This window comes from Homo sapiens, chromosome 2 (genome assembly GCF_000001405.40).
Source record: "Homo sapiens chromosome 2, GRCh38.p14 Primary Assembly".
NCBI classification, from domain to species: domain Eukaryota; kingdom Metazoa; phylum Chordata; class Mammalia; order Primates; family Hominidae; genus Homo; species Homo sapiens.
Window position 1 is genome coordinate 119,643,399 of NC_000002.12, and position 22,151 is coordinate 119,665,549.

General features: G+C 41.9%; 1 protein-coding gene across 9 annotated transcripts in view, besides 1 other annotated feature; it reads left to right on the forward strand.

The window, feature by feature from the left end:
* The window catches only part of CFAP221 (cilia and flagella associated protein 221), a 115,875-nt gene extending 98,950 nt beyond the window's left edge, over nucleotides 1–16,925 (forward strand). For 3 of the 9 annotated variants that reach the window (XM_017003551.2, XM_017003552.2, XM_017003553.3), the window contains exons 22-24: nucleotides 3,560–3,652; nucleotides 8,576–8,671; nucleotides 11,603–12,885. In XM_017003551.2, the coding sequence (XP_016859040.1) occupies nucleotides 3,560–3,652; nucleotides 8,576–8,671; nucleotides 11,603–11,879 (466 nt within the window). In that variant the 3' untranslated portion in view covers nucleotides 11,880–12,885. Of the gene's footprint in view, nucleotides 1–3,559; nucleotides 3,653–8,575; nucleotides 8,672–11,602; nucleotides 12,897–12,963; nucleotides 13,264–16,771 lie in introns of those variants that run through there. The other 6 variants (NR_073132.2, NM_001271049.2, XM_006712353.4 and 3 more) reach the window with 5 other exon arrangements.
* Nucleotides 6,041–6,241: a silencer, noted in NCBI's record as "peak3833 fragment used in MPRA reporter construct". NCBI's record gives its function as "represses an SCP1 promoter by STARR-seq MPRAs in K562 erythroleukemia cells {active_cell/tissue: K562}" and the evidence as "EXISTENCE:reporter gene assay evidence [ECO:0000049][PMID:32103011]".
* Nucleotides 16,926–22,151: the final 5,226 nt, after the last annotated feature.

Below are 22,151 nucleotides of genomic sequence, written 5' to 3' on the forward strand. Positions count from 1 at the left end.
AATCAGAGAGTCAGTGACAACTGAAGAAATTATCTAACCCAATAGTTCCCAGACTTTCTGATTTCATAGATGAGTGAAATGTCCAGAAGAACTTTGGGAACTGTCTTGGCATTGTCAGGGTTTTACTTTGTCAAGTAAGGACATTAAATATATATATGATTTTTTAGATGGAGTCTCACTCTGTCACCCAGGCTGGAGTGCAGTGGCACGATCTCAGCTCACTGCAACCTCCGCCTCCCAGGTTCAAGCGATTCTCTGCCTCAGCCTCCTGAGTAGCTAGGACTACAGGCGTGGGCCACCACACCTGGCTAACTTTTTGTATTTTTAGTAGAGACAGGGTTTCACTATGTTGGCCAGGTTGGTCTCGAACTCCTGACCTCAAGCAATCCGCCCACCTCAGCCTCCCAAAGTGCTGGGATTACAGGCGTGAGCCACCGTGACTGGCCAGGACATTAAAATTAAACAAAGCAACAGCCAGAAACATTGGTTTATGCCTATAATCCCAGCACTTTGGGAGGCCAAGGCAGGAGGATCACTTGAGGTCAGGAGTTCAAGACCAGCCTGGACAACATGGTGAAACCTCGTCTCTACTAAAAATACAAAAATTAGTTAGGTATGGTGGCGGGCACCTGTAATCCCAGGTATTCAGGAGGCTGAAGCAGGAGAATCGCTTCAACCCGGGAGGCAGAGCTTGCAGTGAACCAATATTATGCCACTGCACTCCCGCCTGGGCAGTGAAACAAGACTCCATCTCAAAAGAAAATAAACAAAAATTTAAAAAATAAATAAAAGCAAAACAAATTTTAAAAATGCCCAACCACCATCTACTGTCATCACTATTTCAATTTTAAATGAATATATTTAACACACACAAAAAAAGTGAGAGGAACTGGTCTCAGAATTTAAAAACTGGGTAAGTTTTGCTTCATGAAAAGCTCTTGGTTGCTGCCATTCCATTGTGCTAGACCAGCCTGGTCCCTGGCGAGCGGCCCAGACCCTGAACTTCTCAGTCACTCTTCTTAGTGGGAATTCCCTCTGACTATACATGTTCTAAAGTAAAGTTTTGGTAGAATTTTCTAATATAACCTGGATTCTTTATCATGAAGTCAGTTACTAACAAGGATAAGCTCTATGTCTCCGGGCCCAGGTTTGTTTTGGTGGGAAATGGGATTAAAGACCAAAATCTGGGTGCTATGTATACACATTGCTTCTGGGGTGGGGCAGGGTTTGCTTCTTGGCCTATTCAGCAGACAAAGTCAGGGATACACACAAACACACACACACAATGTACACACAAAGATATATGCAACATACATATATATGTAATGTATGTGCATATAAACACACATATACATATCCATATTTTAGAAAGCATGAATTCACACCAATGCCTACAGTTCCAGTCCATATCCATAGAGTTATTGCTTGCTTTCCACCATTCCATATTTGTATCTCCCTTCTTCCACTGTGAGAAACCTGGCTTCTAATACATTTACTTACTCAATCTTATAATACATCAAAAATCATTTCAGAATTGCTTGATCCATAACCACCTTAATAAACATGCAAAATAAGTTCAGATTGGTTTCCAGGTCCCCCCCCCCACCCCCTCCCACCCAAGTCTTTGGGTATGTAGTCAAATAACTTGTAGTAAGTTACTTGGGTAATTTCTTTTTCTTTTCTCTTTCTTTTCTCATTCCTTTAGCTCTCTCTCTCTCTCTGTCTCTGTCTGTCTCTCTCTCTCTCTCTGTCTTTCTTTCCTTCCAGTGTGTTTATGGAATTTCTGTGAAGTATTATGATTTGTTTCAGTTTGCTTTCAGCCTTTGTTTTTTATTTCACTTTCTTATTGATTTAATTTTATTTTTTCAATATTTTGAACATTAACGTTTTCCAAACTCAAAACTACATTAAAGGCATATTCAGGGAAGTGTCCCTCCCACCTCCCTCCAGCCCCTGGCAGGTAGCCAGCTTGGTCTTCTAATGTATCCTTCCTGTGTTTCTCTTTATAATGGTAAGCAGAATATATACATTTTTCTTTTTTTCCCTTCTGTCTTATACAAAAAGTGGCATTCTAGATATGCTTTTCTGCATTTGTTTTTTTCACTTACTATCTCCAGAAAGTCATTCTATATCAGCTCACAGATGCTTTCCTCATTCTCTTCCCATTAGTCAAAACCATGGTGCTATAATTTTTTTTTCAGCCAGTCTTCATACTTGACAAGGGGGTGCATTTTTGCACAATAACAAAACAAAGATAAGAATCTTATCACAAAGACATATGTGCACACACAAAGGAGCCATCAATTAATCCCTGCTTTCCATTGCTGCCTCCTGCCCTACCTTCAGCCTCAGCCTTTCCAGCATCTGTGAGGAGGTCTGTTTCCTTCCGAGTGGGCTCCAGGCTCTGTCATTCTTCGCTGTTTTTCATGAGACAGCATTCTCTAGGGTTCTAGAAATTTATTCCAGAAAATGATTGAAAACTTTTATCCATTGATTTCTTTTCTGTTGTTCTCTTTGCTGTTGTGTGTTCGGTTTTTATTCCTTCTATATCATCTGAAATGTGTGTATGGAAGGAGTCGAGACCCCAAAAAAGTGCTCATTCCATCCACTTGAAACAAAGAGCTGTTGCCAAGTTTAAAAATAACAATGTATTTTCCACCCTATCTCAATTCCTTTAACATTCTCAATAGCCAGGAATTTTTATATAAAGCTCTAAAGTTATAATACTAAACAATACACAAGGAGGTGGGGAGGAAGATATGAAATGGAATAGAATGTCTAAGAAGGAGTATAAAGGTGGAGGGAAAATACTAGGACCAAAAGTAAACTACCTGTATTAGCCTGTTCTCTCATTGCTATAAACAAATGCCTGAAACTGAGTAATTTATAAAGAAAAGAGGTTTAATTGGCTCATAGTTCCATAAGCTGTACAGGAAGCAGGACAGCTTCTGCTTGGCTTCTGCGGAGGCCTCTGGAGACTTACAATCATGGCGGAAGGCAAAGGGGAAGCCAGCACCTCACATGGCCAGAGCAGGAGGAAGAGTGACGAGGAGGTGCCACACACTTTTAAACAACCAGATCTCAAGATAACTCACTCACTCACCATCATGAGAACAGCACCAAGGAGATGGTGCTAACCCATTCCTGAGAACTCCACCCCCGCGATCCAATCACCTCCCACCAGGCTCCACCTCCAACACTGGGGATTACTATTCAACCTGAGATTTGGTGGGGACAGGACCAAACCATATCAGTATCTAACTACACTCACCCCAGGAGATAATACAATTTTAAACACTACAAACTGAAAAATTCTATGATTCTCTTTTTAAACTCCAGGAAGTGTCTTACTTGGCAACATTCTCCCAGGTTTGCCTGGGGCCTATTGCATCCCCTGCCTTTGCCTCTGGGAACCATAAATGGCTTTTCAAGAGTGAGGGAGGACAGAGTAGTAGAGGCCTCGCCAGCAGTAAAATAAAAATTCTTTAGAAAATTATGTAAAGACCCCAAGACTTCTAGTGTGACTCTATCTTTGACTGCTTGTGTGGTTTTTCCACAGCTGCGATTCCTTCAATTCATTTATGCTTCCGATAGACGTCCCTGCCATCCTTGATGCCTTACCAGAAGAGGACAGACTAGAAACAGTAGAACGGTATTTTTTTTTTTTTTAATCTTTGGCCTCTAATGTGGTCTGTTTTCCAAAAATATGTGAGGTGCTGTGAGGAACTTCAGAATAGCACACAGTTCCTGAGCTTGCAACTCAAATGAGAAGATAAGGCTAACACCCATCCATACCATCACCTAGATAAGATGTTAAATTCGTGGTGGAGAATCGACAGTCTCTAAGCTCTATGGCTTCCTGATCTTTAGCTCTTCCAGGAGCTCAAGGGAGAGATCTGAGGTGGTGCCAAATGGCCTTGGAAGGCTTCAGTGGTCACATGGACTTGGGTTAGTATGTGAAAGATAGGTAGGACTTGGATGGGCATAAAGAAATACAAGTCCAGAAGTAAGGCACTTACATTTGATTTTACTGATCAGCACGCAACAGCCAGTGAAATGGTTTTGAATCTCCTATCCGTATGCTCATTTACAATTGATGGCTACAGACACAGCAGCAGAGCTGAGAATGGGAAACCTGAGCCAAGCAAAGCCTGTGCCCTTGTCCCAGGGCAGCTTCTCCATCATGAGCACCACAGCATACAGCATTCGTACGTCCAGCTCACACGTGTACGTCCAGCTGGCTCACCTGGCATTGCCCCATTTGCAAATGCCTCTAGATCTGAGTCATTACTTCCTCTTTTTTAAAAATATACTTAGCTACTTATTATATCACCACATAATTTCAGGGAGAAAATTAGAAGTTCCATATGTTTTAAAGCAGATACTTTCTACCAGGCAAAAGTAAAATTCATTTAAGTTTTCTAGTTTAATTAACCAACATAGCATAAGGTTGTATACAAACTCATCTCTCATTAAAATTAGATTCCATTAGAAGATTATAGAGCACCCGAAATGTTGTATAGAATAGTGTGATGAAGGGGTAGGCTGTGGGTTCAACACCACCACCACCACCACCGCCACTCACTCACAGTACACCTTGGGCCACTGACTTCACCTCTCAGTGCCCCAATGTCCTCATTTTCAAATGGAATGATCCCAGGACCCATCTCATGGGTGGCTATGAAAAGCAAATGAATTACTACATGCCCAATGTTTAGTTCAGTGCCTCACACATAGTAAGGTTTTGATAATTAGATATACTACCATTAATGACCCTGGTATTCCAAACCCCTAGCCCGCTATCTGACACTTGGTAGGCAAGCAACAGCTCACTTTAGAATGAAGTTGTATCACCCAATAGTAACATTATGAGAAAATAAGCATAAGAGAAGATACATGGTTAGATTTCCAAAACATCAGATGAAGAGGTATTCATATCCCAAGAGGTTTTCCTCCATCCAGTGTTATGTCTCAAGTGTAGAAAATGAATACATATTTCTGATATTTTTAAATTTTGATTTTTCATGTCTTTGGGGGTATAAAGGAGCACCTGGATCTGCTGCTGTATCTGTGACGACAGAGTCGGGGTATAGCACAAAGAAGGCCACCAGCCCTGCATGACAAGAGCTCCGGCACATTAGGAAGACTCTTGGTCCCAGAGTTCCTCCCTACCCGCTATTTCCTGAACTCCTGTTACTGAAGACCCATTCCTTTAGCTTTGCGCTTTGTTTCTATTAAACTACCTCTGGGGAGGGAACATTTTAAGTCTCACTTATAACTCAGTATAAAATCACCAGAGCGTTTTTAGAGTTCAGGCTTGAGGGTCAGTGGCAGGAGAGGTGATGGGAATGAGAAGACTCCTGGTCCAGTGGGGAGTTCTGGGAAAACACGAGGAGGGGACAAGTGAAAAGCTGGAAACACAAGAGGCCAACTTAGCTGCTTTACCAAAAGCCAGATGCTCCTGCGTGCTTCTGTTAGACTGGCGTGAAGTACTGGCATGAAAGGTCTGGGCTGTGATCACTGTTCAGGCAAAGCGCCCAGCCCTGTGCCTGCCTGATCATTCTGCATTTGGTTCTGACTCCTGCGCTGGTAGCAGTTACCTGGTACTGCATTGCCTTGAAGTGAGTGAAGGAAGTGTTCTGAAGTATATTTCTGTGGTGAGATGGATGTCTTCATTTTTATTTGAGATGCAGCTCATGAATGAATTGTGCCTATACATGGTCTTTGCTTTCTCACTTCACGAATGAAGCTCTCAGTATTTAACTCCTGTCACTTATCAAAATATTATGGAAACTACAGACGGTACCTGGCTTACATAGGTTTGACTTATGATTTTTCAGCTTTACAGTGGTGTGAAAGTGATTCTCATCCAGTACACTCCTCGACTTATGATGAGGTTCTATCCAGATAAGCCCATTATGAGTAGAAATTATCATAAGTCAAAAATGCACTTTCAACTCACGATATTTACAACTCATGATGGGTCTAATGGGACCTAACCTCATTGTAAGTCAAGGAGCGTCCATATTTATCAACATATTTTTCTGTTTCTTTGACATCTGCAAAGGTTCTTAGGTCTAGTTTAGTGAGACAGAACGCAAGAACAGTAAGTCAGGCAAAGCAGATGTATGACTCATAGATAGGCAGCAAGAATAAACAGAAGCCTAGGATCCAGGGTGAGCCAGTCCACCAAGGCTTAGTGAAGCTGCCCAGCATTGATGCAGTCTCGTCTGCATGTCTCCCACATTGCATCACAGCTGAGAGACCCCAAAAGCACTTTACTTTGGGTTTTATTCCCTGAGTGTCACAGGGATCGCTGAGCCTAAGCATTACAGAACTTTCTGTTCTGAGAGGAACAAGGACACAGCCCTGTTGTTTATCTTAGGATGTTGCATTCTCAGTACATCCTTGTCCAAGAATTGCAAGAAAGAGGGGGAAGAGCTGGGTTGACCGAGGCCATCTGAGGACCTGGCCTCCTGTAGCAACCCTACTGATAGGCACTCCTTAGCTCCATTGTTCAAAAATGTTTTCATTCTTAACACATAAAAACTTTTGCATTCTAAATTACACCATCAGCTGTGATAAAGCAAAGAAATTCTGATAACTCAAGCACTGATAGCAAATTATCACTGTCATGATCAGACTAGGATCACTGCCAGCCTGCTTGTGATTGCAGGAAATGGTTTATTACACATGAGACTACAGCATCTTTCACACCATATATACTCAAAAATAAGTATTTGTTGATTACGGTTTCTATTTTTTCTTTTATAAACACATACTATATTGATAGTTTAAGTATATTTTTACAAGTAAGTAATCAATTAGTGGAACCCTAAATATGTGAGGCAAATAAGACCTGCCCACATGCAATGATACTTGACAATACCTGAGCTTCTAGAGCTTGGACTTCAGTTCCGAAAAGGAATGTTGATTTGCCATCTACTCAAATCACTGCATGACAGCATTTCTTGAGAGGACTGCAGCCAGGGTGGGATGATTCATATTTGCTTCAGCTTCTTTCCGCCAGGCCCACTGGGGAGATGTTCAGCAGATACAAACATACCCAACTCCTCCTCCATTCAGCACTGATGTGCACACTATTTTGACTCCGTTTCCTCATCTTTGAAATGGGAATAGTTGTATCTACTTCATAGAGGGTTGTCAGAATTAAAGGAGATGCTGATGCTGATGAGAATAGTAATTATAATAACCAACACTCACTGAGCATTAAATGTGTGCCAGGGAGTGCTTTGCAAACAGTCTCATTTAATCCTTATGATGAGCTCTTATTATTATGCCCACCTTTGAGACAAAGAAACTGCTAATGGGAAGATAATGTTTGCAAAGCGCCAGCATAGTGATTTGCATATAGCAGCTACTCAGTAAATATTAGCTTTCAATCTAATGAGGCTAGAACAACTTTTGCAGATTTCAAGGGTATTTTTCTTAATAGAAAATTGTCATGCCCACCTCTTTTTACATATGTCACTGCTGAGTAAAGTGTCCCTGTTTGTAATTCCAGACTTCTGAAGCCTTTGTTGCCCTTTGATGATCTTGGAAGCATTTCTCTAATTGAGTGTGGTGGAGATGGGTGCTGTCAAAAAATTAGTTGTCCTGAGAATCACTGAAACTAGAGGCTAAGTTTCCCAGCCTCCCTTGCAGTTAAGTTGTCCATTTTACTAAGTGTTTGCTGATGGAATGTTAGCAGACAAGATACAGCCCATTCCTGAGGTCAGCTCTGAACAGAGTGAGTGTGTCTCCTGCACACCATCCCTCCCTGCTTTGCTCCAGCTGAAACCCAAACATGCAGTGGCCCAGCCTGAACCATCAAACAACAAAGCTCTAGGCCAGAGGTCAGCAGACTATAGCTCGGAACCAAATGTGGCCCACCACCTGTATTTGTAAATAAAGCATTATTGCAACACAACCACACCCATTCACTTACGTATTTTTCTATGATTTCTCTCTTGCTACAACAGCAAGAAAAAAAAAAGTTGTGTAGTTGTAACAAAGACCATATGACCCATTAAGTCCCTAGAGAAAAAGTTTACTGACCCCTGGCTCTAAGGGATAGCAGACCACAAAAAGATCGAAAAAAAAAAAAAAACTAGACTATTTAGCAATATAGTGTTTAATTTTAAAGCCATTGTGGGCTTTCTAGTTGTCTTCTTTGCTGTTGATTTCTATTCTAATTCCATTGTGGAGAGAGAACATATTCCGACTAATTTTAGTCTTTTGAAATCTTTCAGGCTTTCTTTATAGCCCAAGATATGGTCAATTTTGGTAAATGTTCCATGTGCACTGGAAAATAATGTGAATTCTGTAACCCCCATTTTTAAAAATTACTTTTTATTCTCTGGTTATAAATAACTACCATTATGCCTACCATTGTTTGTTGGTGGACAGCAATTTATCAGCCTTATGCTTCTTTTAATGTAAACAACAAAAGTAGATGGAACTAAAGTTGAATACCACAAGAATTGCATAACTCCTAAATGATCACAATATTTCATTCCTATTTTTACACTGGGAAGGAAAAGCAGTGCCCACTAAACATCTTATTACTTTGCAGTGAGCTCTGTGAGCAGAATGTAGAAGTTATGTTGACTCCAGAAATGATCAAAGTGGAATTCCCTATGTTGAACTACAAGGACATCAGGAAGGAGAAGTAAGTGGATGCTTTTATGCCTTATTAAAAGGTAATCTTGGATGAAATTTGTTCTGCATAAAGTACAAAAGTGTCATGTTGTCTGAGTCTAAATAGCTCAGTCTTTGAAAGAGACACATTTCTGGTGCTTCATATATTTAGATGTGTATTTTATTTTAGGCACAATTACACTCCCTGAAATCTTGTTATCAAGTAAGCCTTTAAAAACTGAAATCAATTTTCCATGTGCTTATCAATCAATTTCAGGATGTGTTTGTTTCTCATTAATAGCTGATTGAGTTTCATTCTGTATAAAGAACTGGCTCTGGAGCCAGACCATCTGGAGCTGCACCGTTTGTACATAGAAAATCTCAAGCCAAGTTATTGTCCTTATCAACTCTGAGCCTCAGTTTCCTCATCTGTAGCATGCAGAAAATAAAATCTGTCTGTCACAGGGCAAATGTAAGGATGAAATGAGATGCCAGCCATGGAAGCACCTAACCAGTTGCCTGATGTGAACCAGAGCTCAGTAAATGTTCTCTCCTTCTCTCCATCAGGGGCTAACTAGCCAAGCAAGCATCATCCCTTGAAAAATTGGTTTCAAAAACACAGTAATAAACATATAAAATGTGTTCCTCCTCATTGTAATGAAAGAAATACAAATTAAAACAAAAATTTTGAAGAATACTTTTTAATGTAAACCACCTATAGTTCATATGCTTTATAAGTTTGAAATTCCATGTATAAACTTTATTTTTATTCTTTTTCTTTGAAAAATGCCTTTATATTATGTTAAAAATTAGAAAATATAAAAAATTTTAAATATGATAAAAACAACCATCCAAAGGTAGTAACATACATTTTGTTGTGTGGTCTTCCAAAAATATGGATATATATTTATATTTATATATTTATATTATGTATTTATATATGTACTTATATTTTAAACCATGTATATGGTTTAAATATACATTATATGGTTAAATATATATAGTTAAATATATATTTTCCATATATATGGAAACCATCATATGTGGTTTAAAATATAAATACCGGGCGTGGTGGCTCATGCCTGTAATCCCAGCGCTTTGGGAGGCTGGGGCGGGTGGATCACCTGAGGTCAGCAGTTAGAGACCAGCCTGGCCAAAATGGTGAAACCCCATCTCTACTAAAAATACAAAAATTAGCTGGGCGTGGTGGCAGGTGCCTATAATCCCAGGTGTTTGGGAGGCTGAGGCAGGAGAATCGCTTGAACCTGGGAGGCAAAGGTTTCAGTGAGCCAAGATCGCGCCATTGCACTCCAGCTGGGTGACAAGAGCAAAACTCCATCTCAAAAAAATAAATAAATAAAATATAAATACATATGGTTTTAACAAAATTCAATCATATTATACATATTGTTTTATCTTCTGCACTTTTATTTAACAACATATCATAAGCACATACTTATAAATATACATATGAATTATTATATTTCCGAGTAGATGTACCATAATTTATTTAATCAACAATCTGCCAATGAACGTGTAAACTCTTTGCAGTGTTTTCCGTTATCAATAGTTCTGCAACAAACATCCTTGTGCTATAATTCCTTTCAAACTTATCAGACTGTTTTCTTAGGATAAATTCTAGATCAATGCGCATTTTAAGGTTTTAATATATATTGCTTAATGACCATCCAGATAGTGTGTTACCATCTCTCCTACTGGTAGAGGTTAGAGCTGCCTGCATTCAAATGCCCTGGACAACATGGAATAGTGTCATCTTTTTTTTTCATCTTTATCAATGAGACAGAACTTTTTAAAAGACCATCTCATTATTTTAATTCTTTGTTTACAAGTTATACTAAAAACTTATCTATGCTTTTCAACCATTTCTCTTCTTTTATGAGGGACTTGTTTTGCCTATTTTGCCTATATTTCTTCCTTATTTGCAAGAGTCCCTCATTTATTAAAGATAATTACCCTTTCTTATATATGCTGCAAATTTATTTTCTCAGTTTGTCGTCTACTTTGTTGTGGGGGGCCTGCCTTTTCTGAAAGGAATGCTCACATTTCTTAGAGCTGTATGAGGTCTCTCTGGTTTGTCTGTGATAGTTCCAGAGACCTGCAGCAGCCAACACTGCTCAGAAAACAGATTGGCAGTTTCTGGTAAAAGAAAATGTAAGAAACAAAATTTTAAATGGAATTCCAGTAAGCATCTGTTTTGATCAGTTAATTAATTAATTAATTAGTTAATTAATAGAATATTGTGTTCTGCTACCCAGCACATAAAACCTCTTGCACCTCAACACATAGATGCACTTTGTGTTTTGCTTCAAGTTTCAAAAAACTGACCTAGGGTTTTAAATGAAAACCTTTTTTTTTTTCTACTTCAAATATTACCTCTGGACATAGAATGGCTTGCCCCAGGAGCAAGGTAATATTCAATACCTATCTACTCACTTGCTCTTTTACATGAGTCTTCACTCTTCATACCATGGAGCTAATGTTGAATGGCATTTGGTTATCAAATTATCATTAAACGAAATAGAATTTATTACTTTACATATTCACTCAAAGTGGTATATCATTTTTTACGTATTTTTAGTACTTTACAGAAAAACAAACTAACAATGAACTATAAACATTTTCTGCACACCAAGTCAGCTTCTAATTTTTTCAAAAAACATACATACATTTCACACATTTGCAATAAACATTTCCATGACATTTTTAATTTACCTCTTTGGCAGGTAAAATTATTTTATGTACATTTTTTGTGAACGAAAATTGTCAACATAATTATCATTTTATTGGCTGCATAGTATTTCAGCAAGTTGATATCCCACAGACCATTTTCAAAAGTGATTTGGTTCAGAAACTCTCCTCAGCTCACATCAAGCCTAATCCTGTGCTCAGTTTTTCCTTCTCTGTTCTTACTTTTTCCTCTTCCTCACCTCCTTCTCTCCAGCCAGAAGCCAACAGAGTCCTCCCTGCCAGACACCCAGAGCCTGGACAGACAGGGACGGAACAAAAAGAACACATCAGCAGTGTCCCATTTCCCCCTGAAGACTGTTCTTTATTTGGTTTCTGGCAAACATTTATTTTCATGGATGCAAAGAATCATCTGCTCTCACTCAATGGCTGAAATTCACCAGAGAGATTCTCTGCTGCCTGGACAGCGGTCTTGGCCCTTTCAAGACCCACAGGGGAATCACATTCCCCACAAAATGTTCAAGGAACTGTGAGACTGTGACTTTAGTTGCTGACACATTTTTCAGCACTCCTTAGATCAACACAGTATTACTCAATCATTAGTATCTCTAAGGGGAGACAGGATCTATATATTTTTAGACATGATTCCATAAAATGGTACCAATTAATTTCTTTAATTATGTGCATTAGGGAACATCTTAATTCTCCATTTTCAGGTATTTCTGGTTTTCCAAAACTGTCAGCCATTTGCCAAACATGTCACCCTCTTTTCAAAAATGTCTCAGAAGCACTTTATTTTATATTGGATTTATATTGCCCAAGCAGATTATATAGCTGAGTTCACAGTCTTTGAACAAGACATATGGCCTTTTAACCAAAACACTCGTCATTTCCTCCCACATATCTGGATGCTGGTGAGCACCATGACAGTCTCTGAGCCGAGTCTCCATCTTAACCCTTGGCCCCAGCCCACCAAGAGGCAAGCTGGCCCCTAAGAAGCCCAGGTCCTCCCCATCTCTCCGCCCTTTGTCTACTCCCACTGCACCCATCAATTGATAGCCTCATTTTACACCACGTCCAGTCAAAGTTCTACCCAGCAACCCCCGCCACACCAACATCAGCCTCGGCTCCACTCAGCCACTACTTGGTCCAGGTGCACAACTCTCCCTGAGGTGCTCACTCTTCTGGAGCCATTGCCAGAGTTAGAAATAGTGTGTATCTACCTCATTCATAAAGATGAAAAACCAGCCAGCATTGACTGAGCACTTAGAAGACCTCACACCAGGATCTCTGTGAATAAGATCTCATTTCACCTTTGCTACAATGCTGGGAGATGGGAATTACACCATTCGCACATCAGGAAACAGGGGCTGTGGATTCTTGGGTAACTTGCCCATGCTCAGAAACTGATGCAGCTGAGGCCAGAAGCCAGGTTTGAATCATTCATAAGCTGAGTGTTTTCACTGGTAAGTAAACTATCACTAACTGTGGTGAAAACCTTCTTTGTATATTAAACGAAATGCTCCTCCGACCTTCACCAGCACTGCTGGCGGGGGGTGATTTGCGTGGTTTTATTAAGTGTCCTCATGTTTCCTTCTTGGGTTTTTTGATACTCAGAGAAGTGAAAGATCAAGCACAACCAGCAGAGAAGGCCGGAGAGAAGCTGCTCGAGGAGATGAGGAACCTGCGGGGCAAAGCACTCAACACATACCTGATTCTAGAATGAAAGTCACCAGTAGGTCAGTCCCTTCCATTTGCTTTCCGTGGGCCACTGTGGCCCCTTGCGTCCATTTACATGCCAGCCATCTCTGCAATTAAAGTTTCTGGATAAAAAAATGAAATGTAGAGGATGTATATATCTTTTAAGTGATAATTATAAATCTTATATTTAAAAATAAAATGGAGTTAGGATGATGACAGCGTTGTTAGCTTCTTGGTGCGGTGTTTAGTGCCGGAATGCTTCTGAGCAACATGTGATGAGAGACTAAGAGCCGGGCACTGGCAGCTGTTTCTGGGGGTCTTTTGGAGGTGTGGTGTGGTGGGAGACTGGTTTTGGGGAGGGGATGCTCTCCCACCTCTGCAGAAGCAGCCCCCTCCATCCCTGGGGCATCACTAGATTTGGCTTTGGAAGAGCAATACTGGTATGAATGCTGGCTCCCCACATAGCTGTGCAGGTGGCAGACAGTGGCAGGGGACCTGGACCTGGAGAGGACACTGTGAGGTGACTAGAGCTTGCACCAGTTTCCCAGGAGGAAGCATCCTCCTGGGAACTCACAGAAGCACCTGGAGCAGGAGGTCACTGCAAGGGAGCCAGGAGTTCCAGTGAACACATGTCAGTAAAAACCAGGCCTCAGTATTGTGTTTGTGAACATGACTGCCTTCATATGCACAGGCCAGGAAGGCTGATGACATTTGGGTTGTGTTATAATAACCCAAAATTATCCAAATATATTTGGATGTATTCCCTCCACTCATTTTTCTATGAATACATTTAAATAGCTGGTATCAGACTGTATGTTTGTAGTCTTCATTAACTCATTGATTCTGAATCCCAGTCCTGCTCTTACTCACTATGTGGCCTTCTTAACATTTCTGAACTTCATTTTCCCCTCATGCAAAGACAAGTGCTCACCTTACATGGGGTTGTGAGGATTCAATTAGGAAATGTGCAGAGTATACCTGGCATAAAACAAGAGCTCAAACATGAAAGTTGCCCTTCACTCACAGGGCAGGACATAAGCATCAGTCATTTTTTAAAAACTTTTTATTTAGAAATATTTTTAAACTAAAGGAAAACTTGCAAAATAGTACAGAAAGTTGCCATCTATATTTTACTCAGATTCCTCTAACATTAACATCTCCTGCGTGACAATGATCAGAAACAGGAAATTACAATCGGTACAGCTTTATTGAGTAATGTCCGTTCAGTGTTCCAGGAGTCCACACTGCGATTGGTCAACGTGTCCCCTTCTTCTCCTCATCTGTGACAGTCCCTCAGTCTTTTCTCATCATTTGTGACCTTGACACCTTTGACAGTTGTTTTGTAGACTGGCCTTCAGAGTGTGTGTGTGTCTAATGCTTTCCCAAGACTAGGGTGAGGTTATGCATTTTTGCAAGAATTCCACAGAAGCGTTATGTCCTTCTTGGTGCATCTTATCAAGGGGCTTGTGATGTCGATATGTCTTCTTACTGGTGATGTTTACCTTGGTTGCTTGGCTAAAGTGGTGTCTGCCAAGTTTCTCCACTGGGACATTAATATAATCATGGGGAGAGACTTTGAGATTATGCAAACATCCTGTTTCTCCTCAGCTTTTTTCCCACTCTGTATCTACGTATCTTTATATGAATTCCCACTTTAGCATCCATTGGTGAGTGGGTCTTGTCTGCCACAACCATTACCATGATGTCCACTTAATGATAATGTCCATGAGCTGTCCCTCACCGTCATTTAGTTACTTCTTTATTCAGTAGATTTTTATATCAGCATGGAATCATGGACATTTATTTTATTATATAGGTTATAATCCAACACTACCGTTGTTTATTTTGTTCTCAAATTGTTCCAGCTCTGGCCATTGGGAGCCCCTCAGGTTACACCTCTGACCTTTCAGTGCATCCTCGACCTTTCCTAAGCACATCTTTACCTTCCAGCATCACAGTATATTCCAGACTCATCTGTATCTTTCCCACGTCAGCCCTGGAATCAACCATTTCTCCAAGGAGCCCTGGTTCCTTTCACTGGAGAATGGCATTTAGAAATCAAGACCTGCTACAGCAACTGGTACTTGTTGCTACTGTGGTCCAATTGCTTCCGAGCCCTCTCAGTGGCCAGAGCTAGAAAATACAAGTATTTATACTGAGCCCCCCTCAACACGCACACACACACACACACACACACACATTTTCATCTCTCTATCTTTATGTCTTGTATATATATCAAAAAACATGAATTATGGCCAGGCGTGGTGGCTCACGCCTGTAATGCTAGCACTTTGGAAGGCCAAGGTGAGCAGATCGCTTGAGCCTAGGAGTTTGAGACCAGCCTGGGCAACATGGCAAAACCTCATCTCTACTAAAAATACAAAAATACAGAAAATTTAGCCAGGCATGGTGGCAAACACCTGTAGTCCCAGCTACCTGGGAGGCTGAGGTGGAAAGATCACCTGAGCCCAGGAAGTCGAGGCTGCAGTGAGCCATGATCACACCACTGCACTCCAGCCCTGGTGACAGAATGAGAGCCTGTCTCAAAAAAAAAAAAGAAAAAGAAAAAAAAAAAAACGCATTGATACTGATGCTTCCAATTCCAGTCCAACACCTGGGGTTTGTTTTGGCCTTCCTCCTTTCCTTAATTGTAACTTCTTTCCCCTACAGTGAGCAGCTTAGCTCCCATCATCTACGATGTATTACCTTATGTGTTGCTTGGTGTATCCGTAAAGTAACATCCCATTTGCTAACACATCTCCTTGCGAGAAACACATTTACTAACTACATTACAGTATTGGTGTCCTTTTTACTTTGGCTTTATAGAGTCCAGTTAAAATACTGGTTCCCGAATTGCCTGGGCTGGTTCTGTTGCTTTCTTTGTCTCCTACTCCCATCAGTGTGGTTGTGTTTTCATATGAGTTAGGTTCATGTGTTACTGTTTGTATTTCATCTTGGGTTCCCCTACACGCTAGTTGGGTTTAATTATTTATTTCAGGGTACGTGGAACATTACGATGGCTCTAAATACAAAGATACTCAGAGAAGTATCATTCCTTCTCATTCCCAATCCATCTCCATTCCGCCATCTTGCTGCCCCATGGGTACCCACCCTTCCCACTGTGGGCAACCATCTCTTTAGTTTCTGGTTTATCCTTCTTGTGGGTAATTTTTAAGGCCCCCAAGGGCTCCCATGTGCTCCTCTGCATTCCTCCTCCACATTAACCAGTCACTGGCCTGACCTACTAGCAGTTTCCGAAGCATAACCCACTCGTCCGCACCCCTGGGCCTCTGCACATGCTATTCCCTATGACCTCACCACCTTCTTGCTTAGTGTCCTTCTCACCTAAGGTTTCCCCAGGCCTCTGCCCCTTGGCCCCTGTACTGACCTCTGAGGCAAGGCCTACCTAGTCCCTGCTTCTGTGGAGAGGAAGGGCCCAGGCAATGTTTGTTCAGGGAATTGCTTCCCTCAGCATCCACGCTTAATACCATGCTGTGCACATCACTTCGTTCACCAACATCCAACCAGCAGCTACTGAATCCCTGGCTACTTCCACCTACCCAATCTCCCTTTCTTGCTGGGTGCCCCACATTGCATTGTTGGTGTGAACTTTCTGGCTCCAGACTTTGAGCCTGTTCCCATGTCAGTGCATGTACTTATGTCCATTTCAGTTTCCCCACCTATAAACAAGAGCCAATTTCTCTTATTTCCCTGCTCTCCCCAGGTTGAAAAGGTCGTGGCCCCTTGGAAAGATTGTATTGACTGTGTTGGGGATCTGGTGCCACCTGGTGGTTGCCACAAGAAAGGCCTCTCCTGACTCCCAAGTTGTAACCCGTTTCCACCAAATCGACTTCCAAATAATATTTATCAGATCATCATCTGTGCTTTTCTTCCTTGTTTCAGACCACTTTTAGGTGGAAAAGGCAAAGAAGGCTTATATGTATTTTCTTCCATAATGAGTCCATCAGAAAAAGTTCCTTCGGTGAAATCGTTGACCACGTGATGTTTGGGGACTCCCTATGGGATCAATCATCCGGGTTCCTTAGAGACCATGGCCATAATCAGGGGCTGGCCAAGGGAATGAGTATCCCTGGGTTCAACAGCTGTTTCTGAAGACCTGCCAGTTCCCCTGTCTTGCATTAACTCGGGTTATCATGCCATTCTCCTTCTAAGGCCAAAGATACCTGTAACCGAAGAATCGGGATACTTCACTGCAGTCACTTCATTTTTTTTTCTTTTGAGGCAGAGTCTTGCTCTGTCACCTAGGCTGGAGTGCAGTGGCACAATCTCGGCTCACTGCAACCTCTGCCTCCCAGGTTCCAGCGATTCTCCTGCCTCAGCCTCTCAAGTAGCTGGGATTACAGGGACCCGCCACCACGCCCGGCTAATTTTTCTATTTTTAGTACAGATGGGGTTTCACCATATTGGCCAGGCTTGTCTCAAACTCCTGACTTCAAGTGATCCACCCGCCTCAGCCTCTCAAAGTGCTGGGATTACAGGCATGAGCCACCATGCCTGGCCAAGCAGCTTCATTTTAGAAGTGATTATTATTGCTTTCCTTTCTAGAACTTCCGGTTTGTGAAGTATTTTCTCAATGATCCTCAAAACATTCTAAGACATAAAGTAGCTGTTATTAGTGTGATTTTATGCAGAAACTCAGGCCCAGAAAGCTTCATGGACTTACCCAATTAGCAGAAGAGCCAGGTTTGGGCAGGATCTTGGTTTCCTGCAAAGGTTTCGTTGCCTAGCCAGGCGTGGTGGTGTGTACCTGTAGTCCCAGCTACCTGGGGGGCTGGGGTGGGAGGCTCACCTGAGCCCAGGTAGTCAAGGCTGCAGTGAGCCATGATCCTGGTACCCAGTCCACTCTTCTCTCTACTACATGGTAATCAATGAAAATATTACAGATTTACATTTTTTAACTTTTTATTTAAACTTTCAGCTTTGGAGTCTCTAAGAGTAAAGATATTATGTGATGATATTTGTATTTTACTTAATTGCTTATTCTTTAAAACATGTAATATAGAAAAAAATACAAATTAGCAAATGTCCTTTGCTCTAAAGAAATCAGCTGGCAAGTTTGCCCCACCCAGCAGCAGCCATGTCTTACTCATTTCTGTATCCCCAGCATGCAGCAAGATGTTTGGCACAATGCAGGCTCTCAATAAATGTTTTTTGAGGCTGGGTATGGTGGCTCACACCTGTAGTCCCTGCACTTTGGGAGGCTGAGGCAGGTAGATCCCTTGAGCCCAGGAGTTCAAGACCACCCTGGGCAACATGGTGAAAACCTGCCTCTACAAAAAACACAAAAATTGGCCGGGCATGGTGGCCCATGCCCAGCTACTTGGGAGGCTGAGGTGGAAGGATCACTTGAGCCTGAGAGGTCAAGGCTGCAGTAAGCCGACATTATGCCACCACACTCCAGCCTGGGCAACAGAGCAAGACCCTGTCTCAATTTTTTAAAAATTGGCTAGGTGCAGTGGCTCATGTCTGTAATCCCAGCACCTTAGGAGACCGAGGTGGACGGATTGCTTGAGCTCAGGCATTCAAGACCAGCCTGGGCAACATGGCAAAACCCCATCTCTACAAAAAATACAAAAAAGATTAGCCAGGTGTGTTGGTGCACATCTGTGGTCCCAGCTACTGGGGAGGGTAAGATGGAAGGATCACTTGACCCCAGGAGGCTGAGGCTGCAGTGAGCCAAGATTGTGCCACTGCACTCCAGCCTGGGCAACAGAGCAAGACCCTGTCTCAAAACAATAGCAATAATGTTTGTTGAATTAAGGAATATAAAAGAAATGTGAAAACTATGTATCTAATATTCATTTACATTTTCACGGACAAGTATGTTCATAGAGTCTATTTGCTATAAAAAATATAGGAGTTGGTTCTAATAGATAAAATTTAGAATCCAGAACATCCGAGATGGAAGGACATGGAATGTCGTCTAGCCCCACCCTGGTAAGTATTGGTGGAATCTCTGTAAATTTATCAAGTCCATGCAGTTTCCTTGCTTTTTATTAAAGAAGGGGAAGTAACAGTATTGACGTCATAGAATTGTTGTGAGGTTAAATGAGATCATCCTGGTAGCACAATGCACAATAAATACACAATAAATATTAGCTGTTATTAGGATCACAATATTTATTTGTTAAGGGAGTGAAGCTGAGTCCTCACTCACCACTGCATCTTCTTCAGTTATCCTTTCTACCCTCCACCCATTCATCTCCTGTGCTCCAATAGCTATGTTGGGATCTATGCATGAAAGAGAACTCTCCAGATGGTGAAGGAGATGGAGCATTGCACTAAAGAACACTAGGCCAGGCGTGGTGGCTCACAGTCTGAAGTGCCTTAGCACTTTGGGAGGCTAAGGCAGGAGCATCGCTTGAGCCCAGGAGTTTGAGACCAGCCTGGGCAACATAGTGAGACTTCGTCTCTACAAAAAAATTAATTAGCCAAGCATGGTGGCACGTGCTTGCAGTCCCAGCTACCCAAGAGGCTGAAGTAGAAAAACTGCTTGAACTCACGAGGTCAAGGCTGCAGTGAGCCATTATCGCCACACCACTGCACTCTAGCCTGGGTGACAGAGTTAGACTCTTTCTCAAAACACACACACACACACACACACACACACACACACACAAAGTCTCTCTCTTCCAGCAGGGTTTTGAGGATGGGTTTCGGTAAATGTTTAAAGAGTGGAGATGATTAGAGTATGGACTCCCTGAAGGTAGGGGAATGGACTTGGCCCAGGGCTACTCATGTCTCTTCCAAAGATATGGAGACATCCCTCTCAGGTCTCTTTGCCCAAACCATGCAGCCTTCCCTTTTGGATTAAGACCACTGGCCTCCTGCTCTCTCTCACTAGATGGCATCACAGAGAGGTGTTTCAACATGAAGGCAAGGAGACCTACCTCTCCTGGAGGACATCTTGCAGGAGGCCTGGGAGCACCAAGAAAATGGGCAGCCCCTTACCGTGAGGGAGAGCCACAGCACCCCTCCCCTTCCTCCTCACCATGAGCCCCATCAGAGCAAGCCAGGCAGGCCAGAAACTGATAGTCTGGCATTACAAGACAGGCTGAGCTTACCTTATCCCTTCTTTCAGGAATTTAGACCAGGAAGTAGAGAGAGACCAAGCAAGTTAGCAACAAGGACAGAAGCTGGACAGTTATAAAATGGAGAAATTGGGCGGGGCAGCTGCGATGGGCCATGAGTGACTGAAGTTGTAGGCAAAGAAGAAGTGGGTTTTTGGTGTTTGGAAAACACGAGGAAAAAAGTAGATGCACCAAGAGATAGCAAGAAGCAAGCTGGGATAGAACCCAAGCACACCCATTGCTGAGTTCCTGCCCCCGTTCCCAGCCAGCCCCTGGAACAGGGCCCAACCTGAAAACCACCTCTGTCCTGAAAAAGCTTAAGTGACTCTGCTTCTTACCACCAAAAAGCCTGATCAGATCTTGGCCAAGGCATGGACCCAGGGGTCTGGTGACCCATTCTCTAAAAGTGGTGTGTTCTTAGAAAAGTATTTCATTTCTGATACTCTGTTTACAGGAAGTTTGTTAAAACCACTGTGAAAAGACTTTTCAAGGAAGCAATGCACTTTGAGGTGTATATATAAGGTAGTCAAAGAATGCTTATCCCTCCCACACACCCCCATAACCAATAGTGCAAGCTTTACACATACACACACACACACACACACACACAAATACATATACACACACAGAGTGTGTGCCCTGTCTCAGGTCCAGCTGTCAATATCTCAAAAGCTAGAGGCCCACCAAATGTGGGGTGCTTTTTTTGTGCTTACTGTCCCTGGTGGTGGAAGTTGACCTCATTTGAGGCTGAATCTAGGGACAGGCTACTCCCAAGCTCACCACTGCCTGAAGCTCCAAGCTGGCCATCCTTGGGGTGCCAATGGATCTGTTATGCACCCAAACCTCCCCACCCCCCACCTTCCAGAAGTCCTCACCCCTGCTTCAGGCTGAGGTGCCCTTCTTCTTCAACAAGAAGAGCTAGCTATTCTAAATATATATGCACCCAATACAGGAGCACCCAGATTCATAAAACAAGTTCTTAGAGACCTGTGAAGAGACTTAGACTCCCACGCAATAATAGGGGGAGACATTAACATCTCACTGTCAGTACTAGACAGATCTATGAGACAGAAAATTAACAAGGCTAATCAGGACTTGAACTCAGCTTTGGATCAAGTGGACCTAGTAGACATCTACAGAACTCTCTACTCAAATCAACAGAATATACATTCTTCTCAGTGCCACATGGTACTTATTCTAAAATCGACCACATAACTGGAAGTAAAACCCTCCTCAGCAAATGCGAAAGAACTGAAATCATAACAAACAGTCTCTCAGGCCACAGGGCAATCAAATTAGAACTCAGGATTAAGAAACTCACTCAAAACCACACAATTACCTGGAGATTGAACAACCTGCTCCTGAATGACTCCTGGGTGAATCATGAAATTAAGGCAGATATCAAGAATTTCTTTGAAACCAACGAGAACAAAGAGACAACATACCAGCTTCTCTGGGACACAGCTAAAGCAGTGTGAAGAGGGAAATTTATAGCACTAAATGCTCACATCAGAAAGCTTGAAATATCTCAAATTGACACCCTAATATCACAATTAAAAGAGCTAGAGAGGCAAGAACAAATTAATCCAAAAGCTAGCATAAGACAAGAAATAACTAAGATCGGAGAAAAATTGAAGGAGATAGAGACATGAAAAACCCTCCAAAAAATAAATGAATCCAGTAACTGTTTTTTTTAAATTAACAAAATAGACCACTTTAGACTAACAAAGAAGAAAAGAGAGAAGAATCAAATAGACACAATAAAAAATTACAAAGGGAATATCACCACTGACCCCACAGAAATACAAACTACCATCAGAGAATACTATAAACACCTCCACGCAAATAAACTAGAAAATCTGGAAGAAATGGATAAATTCCTGGACACATACACTCTCCCAAGACTACACTAGGAAGAAGTCGAATCCTTGAATAGACCAATAACAAGTTCTAAAAGTAAGGCAGTAATTAATAGCCTACCAATCAAAAAAAGCCCAGGACCAGATGGATTCA